This window comes from Homo sapiens, chromosome 15 (assembly GCF_000001405.40).
Source record: "Homo sapiens chromosome 15, GRCh38.p14 Primary Assembly".
In the NCBI taxonomy this organism is placed as follows: Eukaryota; Metazoa; Chordata; class Mammalia; order Primates; family Hominidae; genus Homo; species Homo sapiens.
Window position 1 is genome coordinate 66,134,270 of NC_000015.10, and position 13,984 is coordinate 66,148,253.

The 13,984-nt window shown below is 50.1% G+C and overlaps 1 protein-coding gene across 14 annotated transcripts in view, besides 1 other annotated feature; it reads right to left on the bottom strand.

Annotated features, from left to right (window-relative positions):
* Window positions 1-13,984, bottom strand: part of MEGF11 (multiple EGF like domains 11) — a 358,452-nt gene that overhangs the window by 238,971 nt on the left and 105,497 nt on the right. The gene's annotated exons all lie outside the window — the stretch shown is intronic.
* Window positions 8,726-9,616: an enhancer, noted in NCBI's record as "H3K4me1 hESC enhancer chr15:66435333-66436223 (GRCh37/hg19 assembly coordinates)". NCBI's record gives its function as "activates a minimal SCP1, AML or CMV promoter by ChIP-STARR-seq in naive H9 embryonic stem cells {active_cell/tissue: H9 hESC(naive)}" and the evidence as "EXISTENCE:reporter gene assay evidence [ECO:0000049][PMID:30033119]".

Genomic DNA, 13,984 nt, shown 5'->3' on the forward strand with positions numbered 1-13,984 from the left:
CCTGCTCGCCCCAACTCCCAAGCAGGCAGCATCTGCACCCCCAGCCTCCAGCCCCTCGAAGATGAAGGGAGAAAACTTATCTATGTTCTTAGGCCATTCCATTTCTCACAAAGCAATTATCTCCATCTTTCCATTTCTTTGCAAATCAGGACACATTCAGCTGGCCTGACCAACCCGGACACCTGCCTGGCCCCTCCCCACCCGCAATCTGCCCACTCCTGGCCTTCTCAGCCACCCTCTCCCACCTCCTCCCAGGGCTATGGAGTTCTCATAACTGTAGGTGTCCCTCATGCCCTGCATTAAATCATGGTGACATCCACAAAACCTCTGAAGACAAGTCAGCCTCCCAGGGCCCTTCAGCTCCATGGGGATTTGTCCCCATTCCTGCCCCCTTAAAGAAAACATTCCTTAAACAACAAGGTGCAGCTACAGGGGCCCAGCGGGGAGAAGGGCGCTGAGGGAGGGAGCCCTCGAGAATCCCTGGAAGGCCAAGCCTCTCACGGGAGCTGAGCTGTGAGGATGATGGGCTGGACAGCAAGCCACATGGTGTCAGAACTGGTGCCGAGAAAAACCTGGGAGCAGAAAGAGTCCAACACCTCATCCTCTAGGAGGGGAAACTGTTCCCTGAAAGGGAGGTGACTTGCTCAAAGACACACGAAAACTTGGTTGCAGTCTTCATGTGAAGGGAATGGTGGAGTCCACCTGACTTGGGTTCGAATCCTACCCTTGCCTTCCTGGCTGTATAACCCAGTAGAGTCATTTACCTGCTCCAGGGCTGAGTGTTTCACGTCTTGCACATTAAGGAAGACCAACTTCAAGGGCTGTTAAGATAGTAAATGAGAACGCAGGTAACGTGGTTGGCCCAAGGTCTGGCACATAGATGGTACCCAATGAACTATTAGTTTCCTTCCCAGCCACATCCTTCACCTCAAAGACTCTTCTAACTCTGTACTTTTAGAATTTCTAAGGAACTGGAAGAAAAAAAAAGACAATGACAGAAAAATACTCTGCTGGAGAATCTAGGCATGGCTGTATGTTTTGGGAGACCCCTGGATCAGTCTTAACTGTACAATTATCAAGGCAGATCTCATCTTTCATCCATCCCCTCAGCAAACATTATTGAATGCTCATCAGTCACTGTGACACAGAGAAGACTCAGGCGGGGCCCTGCCCCAAGCCCCTGAACACTTGCTCGAGGGGAGGTGGGAATGGCTAGGAGAGGGTAGTAGACCCAGGATGTGGCTTAATTCAAAGCACCGAGGCCCCTCCCTGCAGGAAGAGGCCTCTCCCTGCAGGAAGCCTCGGGCCAGTGTGATGGGAAATCAGAGGCCTTTGCAGGTATTGATGCTAATGTCCCAGGAGATCCCCTGTGTGTTGAGTCTGGCCCATCTCCATTCTAGATGCCTCTGGATCCACTCTTGATCAGGGCTGCCTCTGAAGGGAGAGAACCTTTCACAAGCTCATCCAGTCTCCCAACTCCATCCTGTAGGGGCTCAGAGAGCCATACTTCCCCTGCCCTTGGGTCTTTCCTATTGAATTCAAAGTCAGTACCAGTTCCCCTCTGCCTCCTAAGTCACTACCTTGCTGTGTGACCCAGGAAAGGTTGCTTAACCTCTCTGAGTTTCACTCTGCTGGTGCACAGGGCTGGAGTCAGACTACATCATCTCTTGGGCCCTTCCAACTCTGTAAGCTTACCTATGAAGTATCACCCTTCCCTGCCCTTCCCCTCCTCATCTTCTCCTCCCTCTTCACCCTTGCACTTCAGGTTTGCGCCATCTCCCAGCTGCAGGGAGATAATGCAGAGGAGGCAGCAGAATTGGATTCTAGTCTTTGATCCTGGAAAACTCATTTAACTGCCCTGAGCCTCCTTTTCCTCTTTTACAAATAGGAAGGGTGAGAGAACAACAGTTTCTTGTGAGGATTAAACAGGTAATGCAGGTGGTGCCCTGCAAACTGCAGCCCAGTGGTGAAACGCGGAGATCAGTATTGCTGTCGTGGTCGGGATCCTTAGTTGCTGCCCACCTCTCTGTCCAATCTTCGGCACCCTTTGAAGATGGGCCTCTTTTGTGTGCTCCATTCCAGCCAAGAGCCCACACTAGGACAGGGTCTCTCCCGCCACACCTCAGGGACCACGTCTCCCCAGTCAATAGACCCCCTGAGTCTGGAGATAAACAGAAGAGCCTGGCTGTCAGCCCACAGACATGGGCATCAGACAAGGGTAGCCTCTCCAGGTTTCCTTAGAGAACCTTCCCGACCGACCTAGGCCAGGGGATTCTGAAGCCAGAAACCAATTGTTTCAAAGTTTGAAGTGCCCTACACATGTTCTAAAAAAAGGTTGTCAATATAGATAAACATGTTTTAACATATATCTTTAACCCAGCATTCCATTTCTGCAATTTCATGTTTAAAAACTGGCCGGGTCCAAAGACAGGTTCAAGAACGTTTGTTGCATTCTCTCTTGATAAAGAAATATTTGAGCCAGGCACAGTGGCTCAGGCCTGTAATCCCAGCACTTTGGGAGGCCAAGGCAGGCAGATCACTTGAGGTTAGGAGTTCGAGACCAGCCTGTGCAACATAATGAGATCCCATCTCTACAAACAATACGGGAAAAAAAATAGCCAGGCATGGTGGTCTATGCATGTAGTCCTAACTACTAGGGAGGTTGAGGTGGGAGGATCACTTGAGCCCAGGAGGCTGAGGCTGCAGTGAGACGTGAGCATCCTCTCCAGCCTGGGTGACAGCCAGACTCTGTCTCCAAAAAAAAAGAGAGAAAGAGAGATGCTTGCCACAGCACTGAAGCAACCTAAATGCCCATGAATGGGGCCTTTGCTAAATAAATTCCACCATGTCTATATAACAAACTATTATGCAATCATTAAAAATATTGATGTGGAAAAGTATGGAAGCCCATACACCAGAGCATTAATAATATTGGTCATCTTTTGGGGAAGGGATGGAAGATTTGTGCTTTCTAAGTCAAACATTTTTGTTACATTAGTATTTCTTACAAAGAGCATTATCATCACTATAGTCAGAAAAGCAAAGATATTTTAAGATTATTATGTGTAAATTCACCGACGTGGGAAGATGACCCTAAAGTCTTATTATGTGAAAAACGCAGGTTACAAAGCAGCATGAACATTATGATCACATTTATATAAACTGTGTGTGCACGGGCATACGGTGTGCGTGTGCCAACAGTGAGGGAGGAAGGACAGGAAGATGCTCGGAGTATGTTAAAAACATTAACAAAGATGTCTGGATGATGATATTTTGGGTGACTTTCTTTCTTTTTTTTTTTTTTTGAGACAGCATCTCTGTCATCCAGGCTGGAGTGCGGTGGCACGGTCACAGCTCACTGCAGCTTTGACCTCCCTGGGCTTAAGAGAGCCTCCCACCTCAGCCTTCCTAGTAGCTGGGACCACAGGTTCACACTACGACACCTGGCTTTTTTTTTTCTCTTAGAGACGAGGTCTCACTGTTGCCCAGACTGGTCTGGAACTCCTGGACTCAAGTGATCCTCCAGCCTCAGCCTCCCAAAGTGCTGGGATTACAGGCATGAGCCACTCTGCCTAACCAACTTACTTTCTTCTCTATATATTTTCAGTATGAGCAGGTCTCAATTTTCAGATTTCAAAAACCAGCCAGGCACAGTGATGCATGCCTGCAGTCCCAGCTACTCAAGAGGCTGAGGCAAGAGGATGTTTTAAGCCTCGGAGTTTGAGGCTACAGTGAGCTATGATTGTGCCACTGGGTGAGATCCAACCTGCGTGAGATGGCAAGATCCCATCTTAAAAAATTTTTTTAACCACAATAAAGCCACCTTCATTTTGAAAACAAAAAAGGGAGGGCCCTACAGGCAACTCCTCCACAGCTTACCCTCCTCCAGGCCCAGATTCTCCCCCTCTGCTCCTTAGGGCACATTTTCCCAAAGAGCAGGGGTTCACAGAGGACTTGAGCCCTAAACCTGCTACCCCTAGGGACACAGGCCACTTAGGGGAGCCTCCCAGCCAGCCCTTGAAGCCATCTGGCTGCGGTGAGACTGCTATCACAATGGTGTGGCATGTGTCCACGCTGTGATGGTATACTCATGCTATGATGAAAAACATTATGCCGTTTCAAAGACCCAAAATGATCTCACGACACAGAAAAATAGATGGATAAAGCACGATTTTGTCAGCTGTATTCAGAATAATAAATGAGTCAGGTATTCAGATTTTTAAAGCAATTTATTGAGGCTCTTTGTCCATGACACTGATAACTTCTGGCTTGCAGCCCGGTCGGGTCACGGCCGGCACTTCACCTCCCTCCTCTGCTCTCACACTGGCTCTGCTCCTCCCTGGAACAGCAAGCACAGGGAGCCCTGGAATCTCAGGAGGTTTCTGAGTCCTAATCCCAGCTCTGCCTCTTACCAACTGCATGGCCTAAGGATGGTCATTTAACCTCCCGGGCTCCCAGCTTCCTCTTCTGCAAAATGGGGTTAGTAATAAACCTGACTCCCAAGGTTGAGATGCCAAAGAGACACAGGTTATGAGAAGGGCCTGTGAACAGCATAGCCCCAGGGAAAATATCAGCATGGCTGGGTTTGGCATTGTCCTCTCTGATGGGGCGTATGGGATGCAGTACAGATACTACTGGGGGTGCACAGGGGGAATGAGTATATTAGGGTCCTGGGCCTGATAAGGACTGCCTCCCGGGGGTGGGGCAAGTCTGCCAGAAGGGAAGAAAGGAACTGAAGGTGAATTTCAGTAAGTTTGCAATTTGGCCCAGCCCAGGCCCTGCTGACTTGCAGTCTAAGCTAGTGATGATTCCAAGTCTGGACCAGAGGCCAATTTGGCTGCATTTCTGGCCTAGGCTGTGTCTGACAACCATCTCACAGCCACATGCATTTGCAATCAAACAATTCCTCTGAACTCTAATTTCCTGGAGGAGCAAGAAGCTCACCCACCTTCCAGAACTTGAGCACCCTATATGCCCTCCCAAAGGAAAGACCCACTAAAAAACAGTACTGTGGCCGATCAAAATCTGTCCCTCATCTCCCCAGGTTTAATTTGGAAAATGGTACATAAGTCCCAGAGTCACTGTGTGCCTGGCCTGATTAGTCGTTGTGTATTTCAGTGTTTTCCAGGAAATTGTTCATTAAGGATAAAAGCACCTGCTTACTGTAAGAGAGCATTACACAAAGACTCTGTCATGGGAGCCTGGGAAGAGCATTAATTAATGAAGTGAAACTGAACAAACATGCTATAAATTAAAGGTCTGAAAAGAAATGCCCTGGCATTTAGTGGATTATGAAAGAAGGATGAAATGAAACATCATATTTTTAGACCACAGTAGGATAAAAAAAAAAAAAAATGGGAGGGAGAAAATTACAAAAGGTGGCCGAGGTAACGATCTATTTCTGGAGCAACTGAAGCCTGTGCTTCCATTAAGAGAATTATCAATCAATTCTGTTTTGTCTGGGGGCATGTACGCACTGTGTGTGCTAAATTAAAAAGCTTAACATGTCAGCGTAGTTTCTTCTGAGGGTTCCGTGGAAGAATGCCGACCAAGGCATTTAGGCTTCAGAGAGGCAAGGCAGGTTATGAGGAGGAAGTCAGGGGGACTTGAGCCATGTCACTAAGTCAGGCCCAGCAGGGCACAGGCCACCCTGAGCACCAGTGTCAAGAGAAAATGTAGCCAAACCCCAATTAACTGGAGCCTTCAGTTAATTGAAAGGTGGCCAAAACAGCCGATCACACTCCCCGGTGCCAGTCAGGCTCAGTCCTCACCGGCGCATTTCAACCAAAGCCAGTGCGGTTTTTTCTTCCCCTCTCCTGAAAAGCAGCTTTTAGGGCTAGCTTCTGATAACTTATTCAGCTTAATTTCCCTCCCTTCATACCCACTCCTGAACAAGGACAGGCCTTTAGGAACAATGATCCTGAAGTCACACAAAATCCTGATAAATCCAGAGAAATTTGATCCTATTCATCATACTCCACTTCCCTGGGCAGGAAAGGAAAAGGGCACAATTGCAAAAGCGTTTTGGTAACAGGTGTTGAAACTACAGAAAGGTTTTTTCTGCATACCTTCCAACTCAGTAGGAAATTCAGAAATGTGAACCACCCATTCCTTATTCCTGGAGGCAAAATGGAGGCAGGGGCAGGTTTCCCGCCTGACTCCAGCTTCTCTCAGTTGCTTTCTGTTCCCTCCTCAGGCAGGCCTGGGCCCATGAGGTACTAACCCTCAATACACTGAATCACCCTATGTAGAAGGCAGGACGCTTGCACCAAGTCCAAACCATGCTTCCCCAGTGTTCTAATTCTGTGGCGTGCCCACAAATTTCTAAATTTGCCGTAATACATACAGGGACTCAATAGGGTAGGAAGAACGGGAGGCAAGCCAGAAGCTTGCTAAGCCATGGGAGGCCTCTGACACAGGTATGTTTGGCTGTGCGAAGAGGGAAAGAGGAGAAAGAAAAAGGAATAGGGGTGGGGAGTGAGGCCGGTGGGAGGCCAGCCTGGCAGGCTTGGGAGAGCAGGCATCTGTGGGCCTGGGTGTGCACAGCTGGCAGGAAGCGGGCCTGGAAGTCTGAGCTCAGCCGGGTATTGGGTACTAATGCCATATTCGGGGACTTGCGAGCCCTTACTAAGAATACTCTGTGAATATTCCCTGTTGGATTAGAACCTAGATGTAGACTCGGTTGAACATTGAGTGTGCTGTTCACTCATCAGCCACTGTGCACCTTACTGAGCACCAGGGCAAAAGAAAAATGGATGGTTCCCAAGACCTTGTACTGTGCCAGGTGCCAGCCTTGGTACATGGCCAGTTTCAGTCCTTCCAGTAACTCCATCAAGTAGGCATTATGATCTCCTCTTGCAGGTGGCGAAATGCAGGCTCACGTGGATGACCTAGACACAAATTCAGGACTACCGGCTTGTCCAATGCCAAGCTTCTGGGATGTCTCTGTCCTGCAGACTCAGGGGTGTGTGTGTGTGTGTGTGTGTGTGTGTGTGTGTGTGTGTGTGTGTGTGTGTGTGTGAGAGAGAGAGAGAGAGAGACAGGGATAGGCTCATCTCTTTGGATCAGAGCTTCCTCCATGCTCACGAGATTGGAGCAGCGGAGGGGAGGATGTTAATGCTATTGTGAGAAAAGAGAAGACGACTGGCTTGGAACTCAGAAGACAAGCTTGGGCTGGCTGTGTGACCTTGGGTAGGAGGCTGCCTGCTTGGTGCTTCATTGTCCTCTGTTAGCTGAGAGGAAGCCTCTGTCAGCCAGGGTTTCTCCCACCTGAACCACAGCACCCAGAAGAGGATTAATGGACAATTTTCTCAGTTCTCCCAAGGATGGTACATCCTAGATGCACAAGAGAAAAGTCAATCTGCTACATGCAGTGGTCACATTAGGGCCTGAGGGCAGGATTCTCTCCTGAACCTGGCTGAGAAGGAACTAGGTGGCCCCGAAGGTCCCTTTGGCTCTGACCTCAGGAGATGGGCTGCAGATGAGGATGCCAGACCTCCTGAACCATGTTAGGTCACAATATCCTGTGTGTATTTCCCTCCTGTCATCCCTTGGCCTAACATCATCTTTAAATGAGCCGATTGTGCCTCAGCTGTGCTTTGAGGAATCTAGGGAGAGACTGGGGATAGGCCTCAAAAGGGGATAAGCCCTACTCCTCACTCCCCACCCTTAGGGCAAGCATTGTGTGTGTTGGGTCGGTGGGGGGATCGGCGGCAATAACTGGCAAGAGATCTGAATAGGAAAGGTGAGCTTGGGGATCAAGAATTAAGCACATGATCCCCCTGCGCCTCCCCTACCTTAGAGGATGTGGAGTTTATTTTATTACACAACAGGCCAGTTCCCCAGCAAGGCAGAACAGTGGTTTGTACCCCAGGTATAAGCAATGCCCCATCCTATTCTGGGCTCCATCCAGAAAATACTCTAACAGCTTAAAAAGTGAGAGCACTCCTAGACCTCCTTAATTTTAGGCTTTGCTCATGGAGCCCCCGCGATGGGAACTGGGAAGGGACAGCAAGTTGTGGAATTCTGCTACCACTTCTGCACGGCTCTCAAGAAACAGCAGTAGCCGTGGCAACATCTTTGCATCAAAAAGGACATATCTAGACAGAACAGGCGCCCGCCAGACTCTGGACCATTCCACAAAGTGGAGATGAGGATAAAATCACCCCGAGGGAGGAAGGCAGAGGAGATATTTATTTCAAGCCAATTTCACCCACTGTGGAGCAATCACTAAAGCCAAATGGTAGAGCTGTGCATATATATGTCTCAGTGAGTAAGCGTGGGAAGAGTGAGTGAGCCGGCACGACCGCCAGCCTGGCGCAGCTGCCACAGGGAGGCCCTGTGAGGGGACAGCATCTGCTGATGAGACTGAGTCTGAGGACGGCCTGAGCTGAGCCCCCAGCCAAGTGCCAGGAGAAACAGGCCGGGGACAAAAAAGCACAGAAGTGGGTCTCTTGCCCCAGGTGTGCCAGTAATCAGCTGTGTGACCCCAAATGAGTCACTGCACCTCTCTGGGCTGTTCTTTGATGAGAAGGAGCTAGAATCACTTCTCAAGCAGGTGGTCTCGCTTGAGAAGAGGACATGGGCCTGAAGGCCTGAGTTTGAGTTTTCCAGCAGCATCCACCAGCCATGGGACTAACAGAAGAACCTTAACAGCTTCTCTAGGCCTTAGCTTCCCCATTTGTAAAAGGAGGTTGACTGACAGTCCTGCAGTTTGAAAGCCAAATCAGGATCCTAGTTCAGGTCTCTTGCAGCTCTGGAAAGTTCTACAGTGATTCCAAGCAAGAGCAGACATGAGCAGGGAGGGGTGCGTCCTAGTGCTCTCAGCACCTGCCACAGTGCGGATATCAATAAACATTCGATAACTAATCTATGATTGGATCAATGAATCAGTGAACAAGTTCCTGCATTTGCGAGAGGGAACTGAAGACGGTGGTGGTGGGAAGAGACTTGCCGAAGGTCACACAGCTGATCATAGCAGAGCTAACCCCAAATCCAGCACTCATCCCACTCCACCATGCTCCCAAGAAAGGGAAAGGAGGCCCTGAGCAGCACCTCCGGTGGGGGCTAGGCCAGGCCGAGGCAGCCTGCGGACAGGGGATGAGATTCCCTTTGGAGCATGCTGGATTAGGCCCCGGAATCCACCAGCCCCTCAGTCTACTCCCTGTCCAGCCCATTCACCAAGCCCCTGTCCCATGGGGTGCTTCTCGGGTGCAGACAGAAGGGCTGGCTGCCCAGCAGCTGGCCAGGCTCTCTCCCTGGCACCTCCTTCAGGCTTTCTTACAGGTATTTACTTTCCTCCTACAAAGATGTGCACAGAGGAGGCAACTAATGACAGAGGCAGAGCGAGATGCCTCAGGAAAGCTTCCGGAAGTTGACTTTCTTCTCTCCAGGGACCTCTGCTGGGAAGTCACAGCCTGATCCTATTCTATTCTCTCTACCTGCTTTCCTGGGCCCTCAGAAACTGTTTTCACCAGCCCTGTCTCCCCAGGACTCAGGGGACTTTGGCAGAGACCATTCCTTACCTCCTAGTGAGCTTTTAACAAAGCTCACCCTCATTCACCGTGTCCTTTGATCCCAGAAGAGCCTGTTACAGATGAGGACCCCGAGGTGGGACTCAGGAGGGTAGGAAGTTTCAGTGGCAGAGTGGGGACCAGGAGGGGACAGAGGGGGCAAGAGGCACCTCAGCCTTTCCTCCGGGTCCTCCTCTGTCCAGGAGGAGCTACAAAGGCAGAAATCAAAGCTCCCCCATCAGAGAGCTCAGGGCAGAGGCTCCAGGTGGGGATATAGGGAGGGGGAGACACTCCTTCTGGAGGGAACATCTCGTTCCTGCTCCCAGCACACACGGACACTAAGCCACTATGCCCACCCTGGCTGCGCATTAGAATGGCCTGACGAACATTTTTCAACTCTCAATGCTGTGACCTCATTCCCAGCCAACGAGGTGGGAGGGGTCAACTAGGTGTGGGTGGAGCTGGGCATCGGTGTTGTCCAAAAGCTCCCCCAGGTGATTCCAATGAGCAGCCAAGATGGAGAACCACCCACCAGGAGCTCCCTGAGAGCAAGGGCATCAACAGGAAAGCCCACCAAGGGGATGACCTTGTTCTTTCTTCGTCTCTTTCTCCCTTCCCACCCCACAGCACAGGTACCCAGCATGGGTACCCCCTTCCTGCCAATATCCTAGTTCTTCCCTGGAATCACAAGTGTCCCCCAACCCATCAAAGTGTCAGTGGGTGGCAGAAATATGGGCCCTCTAAGCCATTAGTGAAGTTGCCTGTTACATCCAAAAGGCCAGCTAGGCCCAGGTGAAAGGGAAAGGCGACATCACTCTAACAGGAATGCCCACTGACCCCTCCCCTTAGCAGCTATACAGCAACAGGCACAGGGCAGAGAGGTTCATAGCTCCCCCAGCCACCCCGGGGCTGGTACAAGTGCCCTGGGCACCAACCACCACCACCTGAGCCCAACCATAGACTGTCAATGAACAAACCTTTACCTGCACCTCTGCAGGCAGGTGCCGTAGCATCCATGGCAGATCCTATCTGTAGAGACAAACCTGTTCATCCTTCTCTCTCCCTATCTATCTCCTCAGCCATTATGTACTGAGTGCCTCTGATATGCCAGGCACTGAAGATACAACAGTGAATGAAGTAGACACTGTTTCTCCCCATAGAGCTTATCCACTGTAAGCCCCATTATACAGATTAGGGGAATGAGGCTCAAAGAGGAGTGATGGCAGAGCAGGCGCCGATCCAGAATTCCCGGACAGCCCTGCTGTAGAATACCTGCCCAAGTCCTTCTCTCCAGTCCCACAGTGAAAAGCAGCCAGACCCTCCTGCAAGGATAGGAGAGCAGAACTCACTTAGCAGAGGCCTGAGCTGAGAGCAGGCCCAAGCCCCAGAGCCTCGAGGTCTCCACATCTGATGGTGTCTGTTCTCCCTCCCTCTCCCTCTTCTAATGATAACTCTGTGAGCTGCAATGAAATTCACCTTAATAAGCACTCATTAGAAATATGCTAATGGGGAGGAAGCTGATATCATATGCCCTAAAACCCAAAGGGAAAAGGAGGTAAAAAAAAAAAATTCAATATTGGGTTTTGTCTCATTTCAAAGCCACTTACAAAGTGGCCATAAATCTTCTGTGAGACATGACATAACGAGGAGCTGCCAGCAGCTCGGACATTAATAATTAGCTATAGCCAGGTGCTGAACTGGATGCATTTGGCTTTGGAGTTCTTACTACAGGGAGAGAGAGGGAAGGTGCATAGACTAGGACCTGGGTGCCATCCCCAGCCTCACACCTGCATATCTGGAAGGGTAGGGGGCTGGGCCGAAGCTTGTGGCTGTGAGAGGCTACAATATGTGCCAGAAAGGCAAGGCTCAAATAACGGAGATGGGGATGAGCACACACACTTTGCTGGGTCCTTGGCAGGACCCTGTGAGGGAGGCATCTGGCTCCATGTTGTGGTTAAGGAAATGTGCTCTGGAGTCAGAGCTGGTCTGAACCACAAACCAGCTCTGCTAATTACTAGCTGAGTGACTCCGGACAAATGACTTAATCTTGCGGGGGATCTGTTTCCTCACCTGCAAATGGAGATAGCAATTGTATCCATTGTGAAAATTAAATGAGATAATTACACACGGTATCTGGAACATTGTAAAAACTCACCAAAGGTAGCTGCTATTACCGTTGGGCGCACAGTAAACAGAAGCTACTGTTTACACTGCTGCTTCCTTCAGTTTCCTTAAACCTCTCTTCACAGCCACCCAGAAAAGCCCCTGGGTGTTGTGTCATATCCTTTTTGGGTTTTTAATTTGCTGGGTGATTTTGGGAAATTGACTTAACTTCTCTGATCCTTCACTGCCCGTTCTACAAAGTGAGGATGATAATTCCTGCTCTGATCTACCTCTAGGGTGGTTGTAAAGATCAAAAAGATAACGCAAGCGAAAGTGCTTTGAAATGTATACTAAATGATACATGTTCAGGGAATTATCCTCATTCACCTCCAGCGGGAAGGCTGTTCTAGATGCCATGGTTTGCCTCCCCTCTCCCGGCTGCAAGGGACTCTCTCTCCCGAGACCTCACAGGAAGAGTCTACATTTCTTCTAGACAACAGTGTCAGCAGACTACAACTTTTAATTCCTACAGATGTCTAACTGAAGTTCCCAGGAGAGATGGAGATAAACCAAAGGCCACCGTTTGGATGGGATGGCCTCATCATCTGGAACGAGTTGTTTTTCATTCCCAATAAGACACGGATTGGTGCATGCCTTCCCGTGGCTCTGCCACGTGTGACTCACCACGCACGCCGACACCTCCCACAGAGGCCTCTATCCTGATCAGTGTGGGGACCCCGCTGAGCACAGGCTTGGATGTTGGATCCGTGTCAAGTTGTCATGAAGTGTCTAAGGACTCTCTCTCAATTCTGTCCCGATCTCACTGTGGACAGCGGCCTGTGCGCTGGCATCAGTCCACGGAGGCACACGCCGAGTAGCTGGAAGGCAGTGGGGGCAGAGGGACAAAACGGGGTCCTCGGCCTGGGTCCTGCATTGTCTGCATTGTTGGTGAAGGTAGGCACCTTCTCAGGGGGGTGTCTTATTGCCTCACCCTTGTACCTGCTCTTTGCCCATCTCCTCTGCCTTTGTTTTATCTTACTGCTTCCTACAGGTTCCCATAATGCCCCCACTTGCTCACTCAGTACCACTCCTGAAGCCATTCTCTCCAAGGCAGGCATAATGTGGACACCATTCCTCACTGGGAATTGGGGATAAACGGTAGCCCAATTGTAGCCGCTAGGTCCCTGGATTGTCTCCTGAGTCTCTTCTGCTGCCACTGACACCCAAAAGTGAGCCTCAGGCATGTCACATGCTCCAAAGCCCCAGTCTAACTGTTGTTGTCCCTAAACCACCACCTCCCACAGAAGCCCAGTCCATATCAATCTGGCTCCCACCCTAGTCCCTCCTCCTAAATTCTGACTCATGACCCCTCCCCAAATGGCACCTTACATGGTTGCGCAGCCCAGGGCCCTTGCCAGCCTCCTCCCAGGGAGTAAAGCCATGCCCTTCATCCAGTCATTCACTCAAGACAGAAGTACCTACTAAGTGCCAGGCGTCAGGCAAGGCCCTGCACATGTAACACGTCAAGTCATATTCTAACGGGAAAGAGAATAACATTACCAGAAAACCACAGACCCTGTGGTTTGGTCTCCTCCCTTTGGAGACCTAGACTTCAAGGCCATTGCCACGGTTGCTGGGAGGGAACACTGGCCAGAGGAAGGGGCACACATGCTGAGACCTGAAGGAGGCAGATGTGCTAACCAGGTAGGGCAACAGTGCTCCGGGCAGAGTGGGTGCCAAGGCCTGGAGGTGAGAAAGAGCAGGTGCACCGAGGCAGCAGAAGTGGCTCTTTCTCACCTAGGAACTCTAGGAACAGAGTTTGAGGAAGCAGGTGGTGCCTTCTGAGCTGGAGGGGGGCTCAGCCCCAGAACACAACACACCTTGTGAGCCAGGACTGTTCTGAGATAAATGGGCAGCCATTCAAAGGTTTTAAGCAAGGGACCAATCTGGCCAGAGTTGTGTTTTCAAAAGGTCCTTTTCTGATTAAAAATAATTTTTAAGTGGAAAAAAGTGAATGCTCATTAATAGGGGAATGATGTTTTAATGATGGACATTCACACCATGGACGATTTGGAGCCATGCATGGGAGCCATGCATAGGAAGAATGCATGGGAGCAATATTGGCTGACTTGGAGGGACTGCCAGGAGGTACCGGAGAGGGGGAAAAGGCCGAAGCCATCTAGTACAGTCCTGTATTTACGAAGCCAATAATTGCCTATAAATGTGTACACGCGTGCATGTGTGTGTCTGTATATGGCTCTTAGTTATATGATACAAAGGATACATGGCAAAATGTTGGCAGGGACTCCCTGAGTGGGCAGGGGGTAATGATGTGATGTAGGGAAAAGAAAGGAGAGAGGCAAACTAGG